The following is a 21,186-nucleotide window of genomic DNA, read 5'->3' as shown; positions in this document are numbered from 1 at the left end:
CATTATTAAAAGTAATACAGTGAGGGATATTTTTGCCCATAAATATATTTGTGCAACTTCAGTGATTTCCTTAGCATATTTTTCTAGGAGTTGAATTACTGGTTTATGGGTAAATTATAATCTTTATACATTACATATAAATATTTACCCTTTCACCAGTGGAAGTACTCATTTTGATCACACTTTTGCCAATATTGAATATATAATTACTTTCATCTTTGCCAATTTGAGAGGTGAAAAATGGCACTTGCTTTAATTTGCATTTCTTTGCTAACTTATGAGGTTGACCTTTTGAAAATAAATATATTTCTTTACTTGTGAATTTATTATATGGTCATGATTTTGATAAAAAGTGTAAAGGCAAAAAGCTACCAGCTCTGCAGTTTGCACAGGGAAACGCAGTTCGTGAGGGGGAGAGAAGATGTTGGATGCCAGAAGGCAACACACTAGCATTGCCAAAATGGCGCAGCTTGCCAGGGGTCTCAAAGATACTGGGAGGAGGAGGACAGGGCTTGGGGTAGACTCCTGTAATCACTCAGGTGGGAATTCAAATTACTTTTATTTGATGATTGAGAACCTGGAGACACTAACTTTCTAAGAATAATGTAAATTAAATGGAAACATCAGAAAACTTGGAATAAAAAAAATGCAGCTAACAATGGTGACTTCTCAGGGCTGGTTATGCAGATAAGAGGAGATACAGTGTGGAAATCCTCCAAATAGTGGGAGCACATAGTAGTAAACACTCAAGGAATACAGATTATTATTATCAATACTAGTAGTAGTACTAGTAGCAGAGTAGTAGCAGTGAGGATAATAGTAGTATAAAATAAGACTAGCATCACATCCACCATCCTGGGGAATAAAATGGAAGAGGAAGTTTAGATATACAATTCAGTCTTCTCTTTAAGAAGACAAATTTCCAAAATTTTTGAGAAAAAAGTAAGCGTTGAGTCTGTAGCCAGATAATGGTAATAGCAATCACTGACAAACATTACTGCCAGGCTACTATGTGTTTGATGCTTAGCTTTTACAGGCAGTATCTCATTTAATCCTTCTGGATATATGAAGAAGCATAAAAGACCAAGAGAATTAAAAAATAAAATTCTTCCAAGATCACACAGCAGAAAGAGGCAGGGCTGTGATTTGAACTCCGGCCTCTGGCTTCAGCACCCAGACTCAACCCCTGTGGTCATGCTGCCCACTGTCCTAAAAGGGGTTATGGCTTGAGAGAAATAGGAGACTCTAATAAAGAATCTGGATTTTTAGAAAATGAATTGTCCTCATTAGAAAGCATGGACACCAGTGGGCACAGGCCTCTCTGCCCTGCTCATTTTAACAGGAAGGTATATAAAAGAAGGGAGGAGAGGTCTGTATCTGAAGATGAGTATTAAAGAGGAGCACATGCTGTACAGAGAAAGCTAAATGCAGCCATAGAGGGCTTTTTAGTCCATGTTTATGTCCAAGAAGAAAAAATGTTGATTGGGAAAGAGGTTACAATGAGAATAGATAAGAAGCAAAGACTTGCAACTTGCAACTTGCCTCCATCTTCCCCAGCAAGGAGAAAAGCAGCAGCAGCAACAGCAGCAATAATAGTACACACCTGCATTGATGGATTATTTGTGCTGGTCACTATTCTAAGGGTCCTATGTGCACTAACTCATTTAGTTCTCACAAACCCTTAGGAGGTAAAAACTATTATTTCACTTTAGATAGAAGAAACTTGCTCAAGGTGTTAAACAGGGGGTAAGTAGCAGAGATGGAATCTGAATGCAGGCAGCCTGTATGTTTGCCCAGAGCCTCAACCTAACAAGACCAATACTATGGAGAGGAATGCCAAAGCCCAACAGGCCTGCATCACAGTGCCGTCTATGAGTTCTGGGTCACCAGGCTCTGATGGGCCCCATGTAGGTGAGTAAGGACTAAAGGAGCAAGTAGATGAGGTTCTCAAGCCTATGGTGGTGATTCTGAGATAGCATGGACAGAGAGATGCCTAAGACAGGAAAGGGGTGAATATTCTGCTTTTCAGGGAATAAACTCTGTAATGCTTAGCATGCTAGGCTGGACATGGAGTCCCTATACAACTCTGGAAAGACTTTCTCAGTAGGTAGCTGTGAGCCCTTGGAAAAGAATGCTAACCTAACATGGGTTCACTAAGGGCAAATCCTGCCAAGTCATTGAACCATGTCTTCAGGAGATGCTGTGGACCAGTAGTTCTCAACCTTTTTGTCTGCCTCCTTGCCATTCATGAGGGCAGGTGCTTCTCAGGGACATGCCCCCTTGCATAGTGACTCTCGGCTGGACCAGCATCTCTGGAGTGACAGGTCCAGTTGGAAAAAGTCCTAGGAGTTTCTGCTGGCTGTGAGTCACTACCATAAACAGAGCACGTCACAGTCATACAGGACATTTGGCGAACTCTCATGCTGTCTTGGGACACAAGGGAGAAATGTAAACTGATGGAGTGAACTTGTAACTGGTCAAATAACCAGACTGATTAATAAATTGATGTAAATATGCCAGAAAGCCTTTGGCTTCTGCCTCAACATCTGTTCCATTTCTGTACTGCCAGTGTATTTTCTAATTAAGATTGATAACTACACAGAAAATAGGCTTGGCCAATTGTCATGTCAACAAAACTATCAATCAATTAATCATCTATCTTCACTTTGGTTCAAGGAATCAATTGCAATTGCACAAGTTCAAGGTAAGGAAAATCTGGCTCATCTGAAATTCTGTGTGCCTAGGTTCAGAGTTGTAGTTGATCTTGAGGATGTTATGGCCACAATGTGATGGAGCTGGTGAGAGACCCCTGTCATTTTTAGTTGCGCTAATGGAAGTATAGTGGTCAGATCATGAGAGGTTATGGTTCTGCTGAGTCATTCTAGCTGGTCAGAGCAGAGCTTTAATATGTTTAATCTGGGATGGCACAGTCTTGGGATTCATGTTTACAGGCTGCAGTGTATCCAGAGGAGGGCTGATGAGAATGAGGTTCTGGAAGCTCATGTGAAATGGGAGAAGTTTACCTTGGAGATTAGAGGACTTAGAAAAGAACTCATGGCTCCTTTAACTTATTCGAAGTATTTGTGGGTGGAAAAGAGGAAAAGACATACACGCACACATATAGACACATGCGTGCATGGAAGTAGGCATTGGCCCGTTACAAAAACAAAATTCCAACAGCAACAGCCTTACACATGTCTCTCATTGCTCTCCATCTGGCTCCGAAATGATTTGGCTTTGTATCTATCTTCCTCTCGCTAGCATGTGATATTCATGCATGCTCATCTCCATGTCCTCAGCCCTTGGTAAGTCCTGGTCCAAAGTAGCTATAGAGTCAACATTTGGTGAACTGGACAGACTGGAAATAAAGATCAAAGCTGCCCAACAGCAGATTAAAGTAAAAGCTGCCACAAAGTAGTGAGCTGCCCATACCAAAAGGGTTCAGTAGAACCTGGCTGACTCCATTCCAGGGATACGAAGCAGGCAGTCTGACTTTCAGGCAGGAGTGAAAACATTTAACTTAAATTATCCCAGCTCTCATCGTGTGTGGATCTACTTGAGACTTTCAGAATCCCATGATCAACATAATATGGCTTCCACTGTTGCTAAATTCACCTACTTTTACTAGTTGGGGGCACTGTGTCAGCTTGCCTCCTGGAGTTAAGGTGCATTTAAGCTCCAGGGCCTGGGGTCAGAGACAAAAATCTTGGCAGAGGCCCAGAGAACCCAACCAGACCTGGACATAGGCCATTGACAGGTCACCAGTGACCCACCTCGAGGTTTCACAGAAACCCCAAAGAGCTAAGAGCAATGTCTGAAAACATCAGGGTCTAGTCTACATACCAGGAAGGAGGAGCAGAGGCATGGATCACCCCAAATCATGGATAACTCAGACCAGATTTGAATTAGGCTGTATAAAACAGTGCTTTGCGCTTTTTTCAGCTAATAAGCTCCATCATTATTTAACAGTCCTGGCTGCACTCCCAAGCTGCTTGCTCTTCCTGAGTACACACAGCTGAGCCCTGCAGGCAGGCGCTGTGACACACTGGAGACAGACAGTCCACCAGCAGGGCCTGGCCTGTTTCCTTTGTGACTAGGGAGGGCTGACTATCATGTCCCTCAATGCCAGGGCCCAGCCTGTCAGGAAGGGGCTGGCACTAATGGTGACAGCAACAAAGGGGAGAGAAGTCAATGAGGGGTAGGGGAAGTTTGGGAGAGGGAAGTCAGAAAGGCAGCCTCCTCTGCCACCCTGGAGGGAGCAACAGTTCACCCCAGCTTGGCTTCATCCCTGGGGTGACATGGAAAGTTAAATGCCCTGCATGTCATTATCAGCCCAAGTGACATTCACAAACACTTGTCTCTAAGAGTTGTCAAGAACATCTGTCACCAGGCGTGATGTTGGAATGATCCCCAGGAGAGCCAGGGGAAGAGCAGGCATGCTCCTAAGGCAGTCAGCCGGGATGCAGCCATGCCTTGTGTTGCTTGTTATGCTGCCCCCATCCTTGTGTAGAAAAGTGAGGGGCTATAAGGAGAGAGACCCTGAAGATGGAGAGATGACAGCCACCCCAGCCCCTGTCGCGCCCTATCTGCAGGCTCCCTTTCCCATGCCATGTTCTTCCATGATTGTTAGACACATGTCCTGTCCTGGGAGACTGGACCACCCTACTGAGTTTTGCAGGGCTGGGGCAGGGGGCTGCATCTTTTACTGCTGCTCTGTCTCCTATCTGGGGAAAGGACAAGAGGGCAGATTCAGCAAGTTTTCACCCCATCAGGACCTTACCACTCCACACCTCAGTGGGGCTGTGGCCTACCCCATGAAAAGACAGCCATCTCTACTGTGGGGTGGAGAAAAATTTGCTAATGAAATCGACATCTCAGGATCTGGGGCCATGGGGAGAAGCTAGTGGGAAGTGGTGTTCTTAAAGGGAGAAGCTGTTAGGGACAGGTGTTCTCTAAAGGGAGTGGGGCATGCCAGGAACAGGACCTGTGAGAGAAGATTCTTTGACTCGGCTGTTTCCCAAGAGGGTCTGGATTCTCCTGGAAGGGTGGGTTGAGTCCCCACAGGCAGAGGAAGAGAATGGTATAGAGGAGGAAATAGGGGTGGACAGGGAGGAAAGGCAGCTCCTTGGTCAGAGCCCGGATCAAAATGAACCTGCCTTGGATTTTATATTTTCTAATTTTTTTTTCACGCTGTTGAAACATGACATCTACAAGAGGGGATGCAGAAGACAATAACGTTAAACCCATTTTATAGATAGTAAAACTAGTCTCAAACAGATTGCGTAGATTTTACAAAGTTATCCAAAGCAAAGACTAAGAAATGTAGTCTTCTACATCCAGCCCTTTCCACTGTGCTATGTACCTGCTGTGGGGCACATCTCGCTAAGGCCCCAAAGACTTTTTATTAAGGCTGGAGACTTGGGGTGGGGACACCAGCTGTAATTTCTCCTTCTGGGGAAGTATGGAGTAGCCTTCTGGAAGTCCACAGGGATTTTCTCTGTCAGCTTTAGTCGAGACTCAGTCTCATACTTCTAAGTTCCAGCAATGTTGGGGAAACAGGGGTGCCAGTGAGAAGCTTGGTTCCACTCCACCACCTGGGATCATCCAGGTAATCAATGGGCAAGATGAGGATTTCTGGTTTACATGTCACCAGGTAAGCCACTGTGAAGTGACAAAGTTGCTAGAGGCATCACAGAAAAAGATGACTCTGGAGTCAGAAGTCCAGGGTAGTGATTAGGATGAACAGAAAACTCAACTAGTATGACTTAAACTCATAAGGGTTTATAACATCTCATGTAAAAGAAGACCAGTGGAAGGGAATTTAGGACTGGTTTTCTGGGTAGCATGGTCATCAGGAGCCCAGTTCCTTCTGTCTTTCTGTCCTACCATCCTCAGCACACAGTTTCTGTCCTTAAGGTCACTTAAAAGCACAAAATTGTTGCTAGAGCACCAGTGATCCCATCGCCCTTTTATGCAATAGGAAAGATGGAAACAAGAAGGGCAAGAAAGCAAAGTGGGGAGTTTCTCAGAATCCCCATCCAATAACTTCTCCTTGCATTTCACTGGGCACACATTTCTGCAAAGGAAGCTAGGAAATGTAGGGTTATTTTTTCCAAGTTAGGCACAATGCACCCTCAGTGATGCAGAGAAGATAGGAAGGCAGGTAGCACATCCACACAACTCCATCATTTACTAGTCCTGGGACAATGGGAAAATCACTTTATTGCTCTCCATCTTTATTTTCTTATATGTAAAATGAGAACAGAGATTCCTTTCTGCATATTTCATAGGATTGTGGTGAGGACTGAAAGAGCTCATGTATTTGAAAGAGCGTTCTTCATAGTTAACAGCGGCATACTGGTTAGCTGAGAGTACTTATGATTACTAGGAGCCTGCCCACTTTTTCTTCTTGGTCCTGTCTTCTAGTCCCTATTCCCCAGCCTGCCTCTTCTGTCTCCATTTTTCAAAACCAACAGAGCTGTAAACTTGGAAAGTGATCTGATGAGGTTTTAAGGGATCAAGGTATAAGGTATAACCCCTTTCAGAAATATTTTCACTTCAATTGGGAGTTCTGAAAGACCCAAAGGAGTGAATCCCTGATGGTGGAGTTTGAAAACCCACAGGAGGTTTGTGCATAGGGGAGATGTTTTTCAGGGCACCTTCTAAGAGCATCTCAAATCATATTACTATCCCCACATCCTGCCTCTCTCACTGTCCTCAAGAAGGTGACACCACTGGGATTCAAAAAGCTTCAGAGCATCTGTTCAGAGGTGACTAATTTCTCCACATGTTATTCCCTTCTCAATTTCCAAAAGCTGTGGCTGGAGAGAGCTCCAAAGATAAAAAGTAATTAGCAAGAGTAAAGAGATTACAGTATCCAGTCTCCCTCTTTTCTGAAATGAAGCTTTTTCCCCCTCCAGTAAGAGATAACAAGAGAACCAGTCCAATTAATTGTACATACGTTTGGTTAGTTTGGAGATGGGAGTGAGGATATCGTTTATTCCATACCAGGAAAACACCAAAAAGGGCTTACAGAGGGATGGGGTTAGGCCTGGAAGAGTGCCTGGGACTTGGGGACAATGCTGTAGTGGTGGCCATCAAAACAACACCAAACACTTATCTCACAACTGAACTTTCCCAGGCGTGTGCGTATTCACAGAACCCAGCTCTATTCAGCCTCATTAACAGCCCAGGTCAGACCAGGAGTGGGGAAGGTATGGAACTCAGGCATTCTGACCCCGAGTCCAGGGCTTCCTACCACCCATGTTTCCCAACCCTGACTGTGTTTTGGAACCCCTTGAGTAGTGGCATCCCCCCACCAAAAAAGGGATTCTGAGTCAGCTTGGGTTGGTGCCTGGATATTCTCGTTTTTAAGGCTCTCCCAGTGATTTTGACATGCATTCAGCATCATGCCCAGTGAAATCAGGGGTTTGGACAGCACTGGTAGACAGAGTTTCTGTAAATCCACAGCTAGGGAATTGGTCTCCAAACTGCTAGTGAGGGAAGAAGCCAGAAGGCCTGGGTTCAATCCCAGCTCTACCATGCACTACTCATCTCTTTGAGATTTGCTTCATCTAACATTGGAAGAAAAAATCTTTTCTCTATGGGGTTATCTCCAAAGAGATAACATATGTGGAAACACTTTGGAAACAAAACACCATGTGCATTTCAGCTCACTGGAGCCATTTTTTTTACCCCTCAGCTGAGTCTGAGTGATTACTATAAGAAAGATGGAATCAGGGGCTCCAGACATGGGCTCTTGAGATCTCCCTTCTCTTTACTTGTCTGAACCTCAGGCTCCTCACCTGCTAAATGGAGATAATGATAACTCACCAGGTTGTTGTAACATTGGAAAGAGATGACAAAGCGTGAAAGAAGAACATCTTCATAAAGTGTGAAGTGCTTCTAGTAGCAGAAATCTGACTTTTCCAAATTTGGGGGTTATTTCCGTCATTCTGAAAACCAAAAATAAAATTCTAAGGCCCACCAACCAATTGAATGAACCCCTCCATTCAGTCAAGAGCATTCCAAAGTTAACCTGAAAAAACTTGGCCATGATAGGAATGAGGAGCCACATGTGCCTCATTATACCCTCCTCTCTTTTGGAATTACTGACAGAACAGACTCTTTAAGTCTGATAAGAAACATTTACAATCTATTTTCTCTGAATCCTGCTACCTGGAGGCTTCATCTGCATGATAAAACCTTGGTCTCCACTACTCTTTATTGTTACCCAGACACTCCTTTTTATTGATAATAACTCAGCCAATTGCCAATCAGAACATCTTTAAATCTACCTATTACCTCAAAGCGACCCACCTCTTGCCTTTCCAGTTTGAACTGATGTACATCTTACATGTATTGATTGATGTATTAGGTCTCCCTCAAATGTATAAAAGCAAGCTGCACCCAGACTACCTTGGGCACGTGTCTCCAGGACCCCCTGAGGCTGCATCATGGGCATGTCCTTAACCTTGGCAAAATAAACTTTCTAAATGGATTGAGACCTATCAGATACTTTTGTGAGTTCACAATTCTGTCAAAGCATTCCAGAAGGAGGTAGTTCAGAGCTGGTATGGGAGCTCCATGGAGTCAGGGACTGAAGCAGGTCAATTGCATTATTCTTAATGTGTGGCTCACTGCTCTTGCTCTTGCTCACATTCTCTACCTGGGGACTTTCTCTGGTGTGGCCTATCCACAGAGGAGTCGCCAACCCTGGGATCAGCCCTCAGCCTTTAACAGAGTTTGGAGGATTAATACCCCAGCTTCCTCAGCCTTGGAGAAAGGCAGATACATGGTCTATGCTCACTCCCAGGGGCTCCCATTAGGGGTGGGCCTCATTGCCCACAGTGGTAACTTGCTTAGCAAAATGCCCTGTGCTGACTTCCTTCCACACTTCCTTACCACAGTTTCCTGAGCCCACCTCCCAAATAAACTACTTGTATTCAAATCCTTGTCTCAGGGTCTGCATCTGGGAAACCCAAACTAAGACAGGCACCAACCACTTTAAAGAATCCCACCCACTGACTTTTGCTGCTAGCTTATTGTATTTCCTCCAGTGCACATTGGAGGCTGAGGAAGGCGATTGTCTGTTCACGCATGTTGCTCCCCATTAGATAAAATAACGTTCTGCCGGGAAGTTAGAAGTGGGGAATGGATGTTGGGGAGGCGTATGATGGCCACAGAGCTGCATGGGCGAAAGCATCGCTGCTGTGAGCATTTCTTGGCACCTGCCCACACAGTCCCAGCAACCAGTAGCCAGTTTGTGGCTGAGGCCAGCCTGGGGGGGAAGCTGATGGGGCTGCTTTCCTGCCTGTCTGTGAGTGTTCTTTTCTCATCTCTGGAGACACAGAGCAAAGCAAAGAGGGAAGCTTACTTCTTGACAATTAGGCCTATGGTCTGGCATGAATGTGTGTGATGGGAGTGGGCACCCTGTGGGTGACAGAAGGGATCACAACAAGAAGTCAAATTAATGTCCACCATCTTCAGGGTCTCAGAGGTGGGGCAGGAAGAATGGCACAAAACCACAGGACGCGATGGGCCACCCCGGGGTGAATGCAGGGCCATGCAGCCAAGCACTGTGGATGAACGAGCTCGTTAACTCTTTACAAAAGAGAGCTATTTCCAGCAGGGGTGGGCTCCAAAGGTGGGCTCCGCTGTGCTCTGCGGCTGTGGGGCTGATGCTGTGGTTAAGAGTGCTGATCCAGATATGCGAATGAACTCCGATTGCATTGTAAAGGAGGTGAGCGGCAGGAAATGAAGCATGGAAGAGATCTGTTAAACACCAAACCTTTGCACTAGGTCATTAGTCAGTAATGGTACTAAGTAAAGGAGCTTCTCAGTTTAGCAATTAGCCCCGCAAAAGGTTAAAACGTAAATGAATTGCTTGGTGAAATTAGTCCACTTGGGCTTTTCCATGAGCTAACTGCCTGGCTTGAGAGGAACATATTCTGGGGGGCTATGAGAGCAGGTAGAGTGGAGTGTAAGCTGTGTCCTGGGGTTAAGGTGGGATTTGGAAGGAAGGAGGCTGTGCGGGGTCAGGGTGAGGGGGTGGTAGCTGTTTTGGGTGAAACCAATGAAGACAGAGACAGAGGCAGGAATGATCAGGCCCAGTCAAAGGCCTGTGAGGGCCCCTGGTGTATTCATCAGCTGCTGCCACAACCATGTTGCATAACAAAGAACCTCAAACTCTAGGTGGCTTACATCCAAGAATATTGAATTTCCTTAGTCATAGCTCTGCAGGTTGGCTGGAGTTGAACTGGTCTGGCCTGGGCTGGGCTGGGCAGGACTGCACTTGGCTTCAGGCTCCAGTTCTGATTTCAATCTTCTCTGTGTATCTCATCCTGGAGCCCCAGGAGAGGGGTAGTGGTTCTCCAGGTATGTTCTTCTCATGGTGATAGCAGAAATGCAGGAAGGCAAGCCCACCTGCAGAAATGAACGTCAAGCTTCTGTTGGTATCACACCTGCAAAATCCCGCTAGCCACAGCAAGTTACATGGCCAAGCCCAAAGGCAAGGTGCAGGGAATGAACTGCGCTCAGCATCAATCCATGAAAGGCTGTGGAGGTGCTGCTGTATCACAGGCTGGTAAAGAAACAGGACCAATAATTTGCGACACTTGACTTTCCTGGCAGAAAGCCCCCTTAGAGGGCAGTGGTTCTCAAACCTGAGCAAGCATGAGAATCACCTGGCAGGCTTGTGAACACACAAGTGCAAGACCCTGCCCCTTGAGTTTGTAATTCAGTAGGTACCGAGTGGAGCCTGAGAATTTGCACTTCTAATACATTCTCTCCGGGATGCTGATGCTGCTGGTCTTGGGACTTTACTTTGAGAATCACTGGTCTAGGAAAAGGATAGGAATGCAGAGGTTGGAAGAGGGCAGAGTATGGATAGCCTTGAATGTCACACAAAGTAGCTATGTTTCTGAGCCCTTACTGCACTCCAGGTACTGTTCTAAAGCTGTTCTGCATGTTTTCTTATTTGGACTCATGTTAACCCTATGAGGTGTGATCCATGATTGCCACTTGACAGATGAGGACTCTGAGCCATAGGGAGGTGGCGTGACTTGCAAGGTCTCACAGCTTGGAGGCAGGGGAGCTTGAGCTTGGAACAAGTGCTGTCCTGACTTTGGGCTTCCTCCTGTTGCTGATGAGAAGCCAGGGTCTAGTTCTGAGGGGAAGAATGACCTGGGGTGAGGAAAACTCTGTATTTGGAACCAGATATTCATTTATTCAGTCAATAAATATTTATTGTCTGGTCAAGACCTCAGGATTGGGAAAAGACAGGCACAGCTCTTGCCTAGGGAAGTGATAGGAAGGCAGAGGTGGGAACAGGGAAAAGTATGGGTGGCCTTGAATATCAAGGAGCTTACATTCTTACTGGGGGGAGAGATGAAAAGTTCAAAAATGTACACGAGGAAGAAAAATAAGCAGTGTAACGAGACCGAGACCAGAGGGCTACAGTTTTATATGGGTGGTTAGGAATCGCCTCTGTAAGGAGTGATGTTGGAGTGGAGACCTGAATGGAGTGAAAGAGTCAGGCAGGTGAAACAGCACATACAGAGGCCCTGGGGAGGGATGCATTCATCCTGTTGGAGAAGTGGCAAGGACTCCAGTGCCTCTGGAGGAAGAGTGGCAGTGAATGAGTGAGAAGACTGGACAGGGCTAGATTACATAGGCCCTTGCTGGCCATGATGAGGCCTCGGATTTTATCTTGAATGAGACGGAAACCTCTGGGGCTGGGGCTGGGGAGATTTGAAAGTAGGAGACTGGCATGATGTGATTAAGAAAGAAGATTCTGCTGCTGGTTGGAGAATATACCGCAGCAGGCAGGGATAGCATCAGGGAGACCAGTTACGGGATGGTTGCAGAGTTTTAGCTGTATCTTGAGACCCTGTTGCTCCTGAATGTTCACATCCATAAAATGGGAGAAGGACCCCTTCTTTCTCTCCCACTTGGGGCAGGAGGAGATTAGGGTGTGCGCCTGTGAGTGAGCAGGAAGTACTTAGGTAGGGAACAAAGCAGCATGTTGTCATGATTTTTCTGGCAGAATCCTTGGGCCTATGTCTGCCCAGCCTGGGAACCTCACTGAGGCCCAACTCATAGCCGTGAGTGGAGAGGAGTTTTGGATCTCCCCCTGCAGAGCAGAGCATCCCACGCCATCACTGACCCAGCTCCTCTGTCAGCATTCCCCACCCCCTCTACCCCACAACCTTGTACTCTGATAGGGAGTAATTATTTATATTTTTGCTTAATTAGCTCATTAGGTGTGTGCTGTGGCATTTCTGACAATAAATCACCTACTCTAGTAGCTCATAAGTGCATTTTTGGCTGGTGCCTGGCCCTGGCAATGAAGGTGGCAGTTGTCATACATGAATGTGGCCCTTGGTCAGGGGCTCAGTGACCTGTGCTCTGACTCCCAAGGTGTGCGTGGACAGGTCGGGAGGCTGCCGAGGCACTGAGCATGGAGACAGGATCTTGGAAGCTGAGATGGTGGCAGCAGCGGCAGCCGGCACTGAACACCAGATATTTTTACCACCCGTCAAAATGCCACCGCGTGTGAGCCAGTGCCAAGGGCTGCTTCCCAAGGCTGCTTTGCTCTCCTCCCTCAAGCTTTGATTGTTGCTAGGAAAAAGGTCTGAGTGGAACAGGGAGGCTTTGAAGATTCCTGGGTTGGCTTGGCTGGTGCTCAGCAGTCTCTTCCCTCAGGGGCCGGGGGCTGGAAGGAAGCTTCTGTCCTGCAGCAAAAGGGAATGGGTGGGGAGCTACTTCTCCCAGGCCAGGAAAGCAGGAGCGCCCAGGTTTAGACCCAAGCCCTATTCTTCCCCACCCTGACTAGAACAGGCCTAAGAACAGAACCCTGTTTAAAAATGCTTCCTTCACAGTTCGGAGGGCCGGGAATTCCACCATTAAAGATGGGTTTCTTTGCACATTTAATGGGCAGAAACCTGGGAGATGGCGAAGTGGGTTTTTTCCTGGGACTGGCGAACAGTGGATGCTGACCCGAGGGAGGGCACAGTGGATGCCCTAGCAGGAGAAGGAGGAAGGGGGTCAGGAGGGGTCACGAGGTGACCTCAAAGCTCAGTTCTCCTGTGTGGACTTATTGCCAAGGGCTTGGGAGAGTCAGGGAGAGGAAAGACAGAGTCAAAGTCCCTGGGACCAGTCCAGTTGCTTATTTATTGCAACTCTCTTGGACTTGGTTCTTCTGTCTTTAAAATGGGGCTCATGCTTGCTACTCTCAAACCAAAAAAAGTCCAGTGTAAGAAAAGGTCAGTTCAAGCTCATCCAGGCCAACGCTCTCCTTTCTGTGAATCCTTGTGGTGCCCACCACTCCTCCCACCCACCACCCCTCATTCCCGCCACCCCCTTGGGATGTTGGCTGACCTCATGCAGGAATAAATTGCCAGAAACAAGAAAGCCCCCACCACTGTTGGGTGCCACTGGCTAAAATGTTACACCTCATTGGCCGGACATGGTGGCTCACGCCTGTAATCCCAGCACTTTGGGAGGCTGAGGCGGGCAGATCACTTGAAGTCAGCAGTTTGAGACCAGCCTGGCCAACATGGTGAAATCCTATCTCTACTAAACATACAAAAATTAGCAGGGCGTGCTGGCACATGCCTGTAATCCCAGCTACTGGGGAGGCTGAGGCAGGAAAATTGCTTGAACCCAGGAGGCAGAGGTTGCAGTGAGCCAAGATTCCGCCATTGCACTCCAGCCTGGGCAAAGAAGTGAGACTCCATCTCAAAACAAGCAAACAAAAGTGACATCTCACTGCAGGCCCTCAAATCTATCTCCCTCTACCTCCAACCTTCAGATTCTGCCTTCATCCTTATTAGGCATAAAACTAATTCTTTTTCTGTAATATGTTCAGTTAATTTTTGAACATAATTCTCAGTTTCACCCAGTGCTATTTGTTCAGATTCAACATCCTACCTCCCTGCCTTCCTCCATCCTTGCCTTTACCTTTAGTCATTCGAGAGGTGTTTAAGTTTACAACTCAAGTCTGGGCCACACATGGGAAGGGCAGCTACAAACAAGGCATTTCTGCCCTCCTGCAACTCGCATCTCCCAGGCAGACAAACGTTAAACAACTATTCTGGGAGGTCTTCACCGATTCAGTAGCTACAGCTGTGATAAATGCTGTGCAAATATATGCTAGAGCAGGTCCTGGGGAACTGACCTAGCCTGGGGAAGCCAGGGAAGGCTTCCTGGAAGAGGTGATCCAGAAGGTCAAGTAGGAATTCAGGCCGGGTGCGTGGCTCATGCCTGTAATCCCAGCATTTTGGGAGGTCGAGGTGGGTGGATCACCTGAGGTCAGGAGTTCAAGACCAGCCTGGCCAACATGGTGAAACCTCGTCTCTACTAAAAATACAAAAATTAGCTGGCCATGGTGGCACGTGCCTGTAATTCCAGGTACTTGGGGGGCTGAGGCAGGAGAGTCACATGAACCCAGGAGGTGGAGGTTGCAGTGAGATGAGATTGCACCATTGCATTCCAGCCTAGGCGACAAAGCAAGACTCTGTCTCAAACAAAACAAAACAAAACAAAACAAAACAAAAACAAGTAAAAGTAGGAGCTCAATCAGCGAGGAGGCACAGGAGGCATTGCGGGGAAAGACTGGCATGTTTTTCTGTCTCTGGAGCAGAAAGTTGTCTGGGGTGGGTCTCTGGTCCCTTGCCTCAGATGTGTGCAGGTTTTGTGATGTCTCTTTGCAGATGTGGGGTCTGGCAGTGGGCAGTACACTGAATGTGTCCTGTGTGGACCAAAGTGGGCTGAAGAAGCTCCTCTGAAGCTGAAAGTGCCCCACATTTGAAGGCAGCCTCAGCTCTCCCTAGTCTCCTGTGGTGCCAACTCCCACACAGAGTACCCCAACAAAGCCACTCCCCTCACATTGTCCGGAACCATCTTGCTGCCTCCTCTCTAGGCTGTTCCCAAAAGAGAGTGGCCCAGGGCCGTGTTCAGCTTTGTGGTCACGTGGGGTTTATAACTGAAGTCATCCTCTGGGTGTCACAGTGACCCCGCCTGGGGGGGCCAAGCTTCTCACTCAAGCCTTTTTATTGATTTTCAATCTTCAATAAAACATTAACAAATTTTGCGTGTCCGATTTTATATGTTTTAATGTTTCAAGTCATTGCATTTCTTTGATTGGAAATAAATGGGTTATAAATCACAAAGCCAATGGATGGAATTAGGTCAAAAGTGCTAAGTAAATGCAGGCGGTTTCTCCTCCAATAAAGATAAGGATAATAAGAGTCAACCTTTCTGAGAAATTATTCCATGCCACGTACTGTTCTACATGGTTTCTGTTTATTAGCTCATTTAATTATTTCAACATCCTGACAAAAAAGGTGCTGGTATTACCTTGATTTTACGGCGGGGAGGAGGGGGGAACTGAGGCATGGCCTGGTGAAGAAGCCTGCCCGAGGTGTCCCAGCTGGAATTTGAAGCCAAGCAGACTGGCTTCAGGGTCTGCAGCATCTTGAGGCCTCAATAGTGCTCAGCTAGCTTCTGAGTGCCCACAGTGTGGGCCCCACTGCACCAGGCACCTTCATAGCCCCCTGGGAGGCAGGGTTACGATTCTTTCCTAGGTTAGGAATTGCAGGGAGAAGAGAGGGTATGTAAGCTGCCCGAGGCCTCCCAGCTAGGAGCTGGCAGGGCCAGATTCAAACCCAGGCCTGTTGTGCTCCAAAGAGCTCCTGCCTGTTCCTCTTCCTCCCAGGACATGAGTTAGGATTGAGGGGGTGAGACGAGCGTCTTGGAGTCATAGGTAATGTCTTCAAAATAGAGGCCAGTGAGCCCATTTCCTTCAACCCTGTCCCCTTCCTGGTCGCCCAATCTACTAACAACCCCGGAACCATCAGCCTACTGGCACTCAGAACCACCATGAGGGGGAGACTGAACCAGACCCACCCATCCCACCCACCTGCACATAAGGAGGAACAAGAGGAAACAGGTGGGTGCTTCAGGAGGGGAGGGCTCTCAGCTAGACAAGTAGGAGAACTTCCGTCAGTGCTGGTGATGTCTGATAAAGCCACGGCTGCTTTGAAGGCAGAGGGGAGCCTCGGCTGCTTCAAGGGCCTGGGGGATTCCATCTGAGGCAGGCAGGCTGATGCATGCCTTCCACCCCTTCTCCATGCTGGGAAGATGATGGCCATGTCCTGGAGTGTTCTAATTTATAACTTGCCACTTGAACCATGGCTGCTCTGCCTCCCACTGCTGCCTCTTCCCAGACTGAAAGGAAACCGGGTCGTGGTTCAGCCCTAGAGACAGCACAGGCCTGGGGAAGAGCGAGATTTAATGCTCAGTGTCTGCCCTACATGAGTCATCATCCCCCCAGAGCTACTGCAGCCACTGCCTCCCTGGCCCACCCAGGCCCAGGCCCAGTGCTGAGTGGCAGGCAGGCGTGTATAGCTGGAGGATGACACTGTGAATCTCGGACAGTCACGGGATTCCCTGGTGTGGGGACATACAGCAGAGGGAACAACAGATAGATCACAGCTGGGCTGTTGACCCTGAGTCTTAAGCAAAGTGGAGAATAAGAGGTCATATTTATCTCATCAGAGCTGCGGGAGCCATGAAATATCAGAGTATGAATAAAGGCAGCGGTAAATCACTCACCACTCTTGCAAATGTGGCCAATCTGTCTTCCAGTCCCATCACCCACTGGGTGGCATGGGGTCAGTGTGCACAGAGATGGAGAAAAAGAAGAGATAAGCCTCCAGAGACCCCAAACGGTGCTCTCTGGAACACGGCAGTGCTGGGAATCATTGACCTTCTTAGATTCCTAGGATGTAAGATCTCCCTCACCTCAAAAGTTCACCTGCTCAATGAGGTGATGCCTGACCACCCACTTAAAGCTGAGCTGTCCCACTCTAACCTCAGCACTTTCTTTTTCTCTCTTACCTACTTGTTCTTTTTTCCTTAGCACAGTCCACTTTCTAACATACTAAATCAGTTACCAATTGTGTTTACTGTTTGCTCTGTCCCCACAGAGAATGTCAATTCCACAAGGCAGGGACTTGTATCAGTGGGGGTCACTGCCATCCCCACAGACACCTAGAGCAGTGCCTGTCACATAAGCTCCACAAACATTTCTTGGATGAGTGAATGAGTCTGGAAATTACTTAAGAAATGGCTTAATTCGAATGCCTCACGGTGTCAGGGAAAAGCGGAGACCCAGAGAAGGGATAAGACTTGACCCCAGTCTCATAGCCTGTTAGGGGTTGCAAAGCTGGGAGAAGCTCTCAGGCCAGAGCTCCAGGTCCTGCATGGTCTGAGCGACTCTCATACCCTCCAGACGATGTACTTGTCAGTCATGCTCTGTTACCTATGGGACCCCGGAGCTGTGCAGCCCCAGGCTAGGCAGGGGTGGGACCTCGCTTGCTTTTTCCCTTGATTTAAAAAACCAAAAATCTTATAAATTTCCTGATAAATAATTCATTAACTCAAAGGGATCCCTCAAAATATGAGTTCCTTGACTGAGGAAGGTCAGAAAATTTTTCTTCCTGAGAATTTGTAAGGTGTGGAGTGGGAGTGGGGCGGGAAGTGTTTATCAGGACCCCTCCCTAGGATACCTGCTGCTGTGCCAGATCCTTCCATGGATCACTCACGCAGTCTTCACTTCCAGGCTGCAGTGGAGCATGATAACAAGAGCTCACAGCTAATGAACAGTGTGCCAAGGCTGCTGTCAGTGCTTTTAGATATCCGACCATTGAGCCTGTCCAGCAGCCCTATGACCTGGATGGCTTCTGTCTCCTCCCCACGTTACATGCAGATGAGAGACCTGAGGCAGCTATGCTAGCAAAGAAATGCTCCTGTTCCAGATGTTTAGAACACATCGGTCAACAAAACAGCTGGCAATCCTGGTCCTTATGAGAGGAAAACGGGCAACAGGCACCACAAATGAGTAAATGATATGGGTGCTGGGAGACAGTGAGTGCCACACAAAAAAGAAACCCCAGGCAAGACATGGCAGGGTGCTGGGGGTGGTGGGTAAGTTGTAATATTAGCTAGCGTGTCCAGGGCAGGCCTCACCGAGAAGGTGGGATTTGAGGAAAGACTTGAAGGGGAGCTGGACTGAGGTCTGTGGGAAGGGCCCTCCAGGCAGAAGGAAGAGCCAGGGCAAAGCCTCCATGGCTGGAGTGTTTCTGAGGAGCAACGAAGAGGCCAGGGTGGCTGAAGCACAGAGTGCAGGGCAGGGTGGGCGAGATGGGGCAGAGAGGCAGTGGGGCCAGACCCCACAGGGCCATGTGGCCTTTGTAAGGACGCTGATTCGAGTGTTCACCCGACCTGTGCATGTTCACAGGTGCTCACAGCCTCAGGTCAATCCTTTTCCCTGCTCACATGCCCAGGGCTGCTTCCACGCTGGCCAGTGGACGCACAGTCACACTCACATACGTACCTACACGCACACACTGGCCAACGGCCACTCACTCACACAGCCCCCCTACTCCTACCGTGCCCGTTTGGGGTTCACCCTCCACTGCACCTGCATGTACCCCAGCAGAGCAGGGACGACTCCTCATCAGCCTCACTCCCATCTGCCACCCAGAATGGCCTCTCCCCAGCTGGAGCAGGAGAGGGAGGAGAGTGAGCCAATTTCTGGGGCTTCAGACCCATGCACCTCAATAAACAGTGCTGGAGAGACTCCCAGAAAATTACAGATGAGATAAGTCTGTGATTTACTCACACGTGATTTATTTACATGATTACTTCCACACTAAGATGACAGGCCCATATGGCCATCCTCCAGGGACCCTGGTGTGCAATTAATGGCTCTGTTCTGTGTTCATTGTCCCCATAGGCCCTGGCTGCTCCCAGACTTGGGGCAGGACAGAGGAAGGAGGATAATTACACTGCTGCTTTTAGTAATTCACAGGCAAAATCAGGATGGTGCACCTCTAGGCTAGGCCAGCCCCACCTTAAAGCTCCTGGCTAATGAACAAATCCCATAGGAAGGCTCCTCTGCCCATCTGGCAGAGACCCCAACCCCTAAAACTACCTGTGCCCTCAGGCGGCTCATCTTCTGCCACCAGGAGGGGTCCTGCTGCGAGGTGGGTGGAATGGATGGTGTTAGTCTGTAAGAGATGATAGAAAGATAAATAGAAGATAGACAATAATAAAGTATGTAAGCATTCACTATATATATAAATGATTTATTGAGTATATATTGTATGCCAGTGCTTGGTGTACATTACTTCTGATCCTCATATAACTCTGCAAATTGGGTTTGCAAACTGCTTTTACAAATAAGAAGACAAAAGCTACGGAAAGTTAAGTAAGGGAGTAAAGATATAGTCAATAAATTGTGGAGATGGGATTTGAGCCCAGGTCACTTTGATGCTAACTCCTGTGTGCTTTCGGGGTCAGGGACGTGCTGCTGCCCCTACTTCCACAACCCCAATATCCCATCCCCTTCCTCCTGCCTCCCCCGTGCTCCCATCACCCCTCTTCCAGTGATGTTCTTGTGAAATTCTAGAATGTTAAAAGCACAGAGAAGGAAAGTGAATTGCTCAAGGCTGAACAAGTCATGACAGAGTGGGAGTTAGAGCCTCATCCTCCAGCCTGGACATGAGGATGGCTGGTGGGTGGGGACGGCTCTGCTCCCCCACCCTCCCTCCTGCTGACTCCAGGGTTGGGAGTGCATCAGGACCTTCCACTTGGCTGGACAGAGTGGGGCTTCCCAGCTGCCCACCTGAGACCTCCTGCTATAGGTCGTCACTCTCCCCACCCTTAATTAATTCCTTCCTGAGCAGACTGCTTGTTAGAGACAGAGGTATCCAGGGAGAATCAGCAGAAACACAGCCCAGCGAAGTGCTGAGTGGGCTCCTCCTGACTGCTGGGTGGAAAGGGCAACTCTCCGTGGGGTGAGGCAGCAGGCAGGATGATGCAGCAACTCAGCAGCCGGATGCCCAGCTAGTCTCTCACCAGGGGGTCTGCCTCCAGGCATGCAGCTTGGAACAGCCCCCAAGGAAGTGTCAATAAGTTTCTCGGTCACTCATTCATGCACGAGTGCTGGCTGTCCCCATTATAAAAAATGGACACCTCACATTTATAAATGCTTCACCACTTACATACTGTGTCCAAGTAGATGTGCGTCTTAGGTTTTCCAGACGGTCCTTTGGGGGAGGTGGTAGTGTTCTCATTCCCGTTTGACAGATGAGGAGGCTGAGATTCAGAGAAGCAAAATCCCTTGTTCAAGATTGCTCAGCTAGCAGATGGTGGGGCCAACATTTGAAACTGATCTTCAAATACCAAATGCAAACATCATCATGGCTTCTTTTTATTGCATAAACATACTCTCAGCAGCATACTCTGTACTGAACAAATATCATAGTACTTAATTTTCACAAAGACACCATATGATTGCTGTTACGAACCCATTTTGCAAGTGAGAAAACTGTGAAGGCGAGGCTCAAACATGGGAAGTGACTCACCAGGCATGGCACAGTCAGTAAACCTTCTTCACTAGAGCACAAATTCACCCTGGGGGTCGATACAGGTTCCTTCTTATGATACAGCTTCTGATCTGACAGAGGGAGATGGTTATAATTGAAGGAAAAGGTGGGGCCCCAATGCCCCTCCATGAAATGACTGAGGGCTTCATTTTACCCAGATTTGCTTTATTAAGGGTGCAATAGTTTGAATGCTTGTGTCCTCTTTGAGATTCATAGGTTAAAACCTAATCCTGGATGATAGGATGAAGAAGTGGAGCCTGTAAGGGGTGATAAAGTCATGAGGGCTTGTGGCTACCGAGGGGGCTCTCTGTCTCTCTTGCCCTTCCACTGCTGCCATGTGAGGATACAGAAAGAAGGCCCTTATCAGACCAAATGCTGGCACCTTAATCTTGGGCTTCCAGCCTCCAGTTCTGTGAGAAAATTTTGTTGCTGTTTTTTAAAAATATAAATTATTCTGTGGTATTCTGTTAAGCAATACAAAGAAACTAAGACAAAGTGTTACTGTTGACTTCACCATTGGCATTGAAACAAAATACAGTGTTTACCATTCCTTCATTTATTGCCAGGCACCCCTAGCATTTAACACACTTTACCTCATTTAGTCCTGACTATATTCCTACACAGTAGGTACTAGTGTTCCTATTTAACTGAGGCAGAGGGTAAGTAATCTGCCTAGGGTCACGCAGCTAGTCATTGCTAGAGCAGGATTTGAACCCAGGCCCAGCTGCTG

At 47.7% G+C, this 21,186-nt stretch overlaps 1 protein-coding gene across 2 annotated transcripts in view, besides 6 other annotated features; it reads left to right on the top strand.

The window, feature by feature from the left end:
* LRFN2 (leucine rich repeat and fibronectin type III domain containing 2) overlaps positions 1-21,186 on the top strand; it is a 195,774-nt gene that overhangs the window by 157,596 nt on the left and 16,992 nt on the right. The window lies entirely within an intron of this gene.
* Positions 9,080-9,715: an enhancer, noted in NCBI's record as "NANOG-H3K27ac-H3K4me1 hESC enhancer chr6:40387793-40388428 (GRCh37/hg19 assembly coordinates)". NCBI's record gives its function as "activates a minimal SCP1, AML or CMV promoter by ChIP-STARR-seq in primed H9 embryonic stem cells {active_cell/tissue: H9 hESC(primed)}" and the evidence as "EXISTENCE:reporter gene assay evidence [ECO:0000049][PMID:30033119]".
* Positions 9,716-10,351: an enhancer, noted in NCBI's record as "OCT4-NANOG-H3K27ac-H3K4me1 hESC enhancer chr6:40387157-40387792 (GRCh37/hg19 assembly coordinates)". NCBI's record gives its function as "activates a minimal SCP1, AML or CMV promoter by ChIP-STARR-seq in primed H9 embryonic stem cells {active_cell/tissue: H9 hESC(primed)}" and the evidence as "EXISTENCE:reporter gene assay evidence [ECO:0000049][PMID:30033119]".
* Positions 9,716-10,359: a biological region, named in NCBI's record as "OCT4-NANOG-H3K27ac-H3K4me1 hESC enhancer GRCh37_chr6:40387157-40387792".
* Positions 10,065-10,359: a silencer, noted in NCBI's record as "tiled region #821; K562 Repressive non-DNase unmatched - State 21:Repr". NCBI's record gives its function as "represses a minimal TATA promoter and a strong SV40 promoter by Sharpr-MPRA in K562 cells {active_cell/tissue: K562}" and the evidence as "EXISTENCE:reporter gene assay evidence [ECO:0000049][PMID:27701403]".
* Positions 10,352-10,988: an enhancer, noted in NCBI's record as "OCT4-H3K27ac-H3K4me1 hESC enhancer chr6:40386520-40387156 (GRCh37/hg19 assembly coordinates)". NCBI's record gives its function as "activates a minimal SCP1, AML or CMV promoter by ChIP-STARR-seq in primed H9 embryonic stem cells {active_cell/tissue: H9 hESC(primed)}" and the evidence as "EXISTENCE:reporter gene assay evidence [ECO:0000049][PMID:30033119]".
* Positions 19,760-20,261: an enhancer, noted in NCBI's record as "H3K4me1 hESC enhancer chr6:40377247-40377748 (GRCh37/hg19 assembly coordinates)". NCBI's record gives its function as "activates a minimal SCP1, AML or CMV promoter by ChIP-STARR-seq in naive H9 embryonic stem cells {active_cell/tissue: H9 hESC(naive)}" and the evidence as "EXISTENCE:reporter gene assay evidence [ECO:0000049][PMID:30033119]".

The sequence above is a fragment of the Homo sapiens genome, chromosome 6, assembly GCF_000001405.40.
Source record: "Homo sapiens chromosome 6, GRCh38.p14 Primary Assembly".
Classification (NCBI taxonomy): Eukaryota; Metazoa; Chordata; class Mammalia; order Primates; family Hominidae; genus Homo; species Homo sapiens.
Note: the sequence above shows the minus strand (reverse complement) of the source record. Positions and strands in the feature narration are given on the sequence as shown.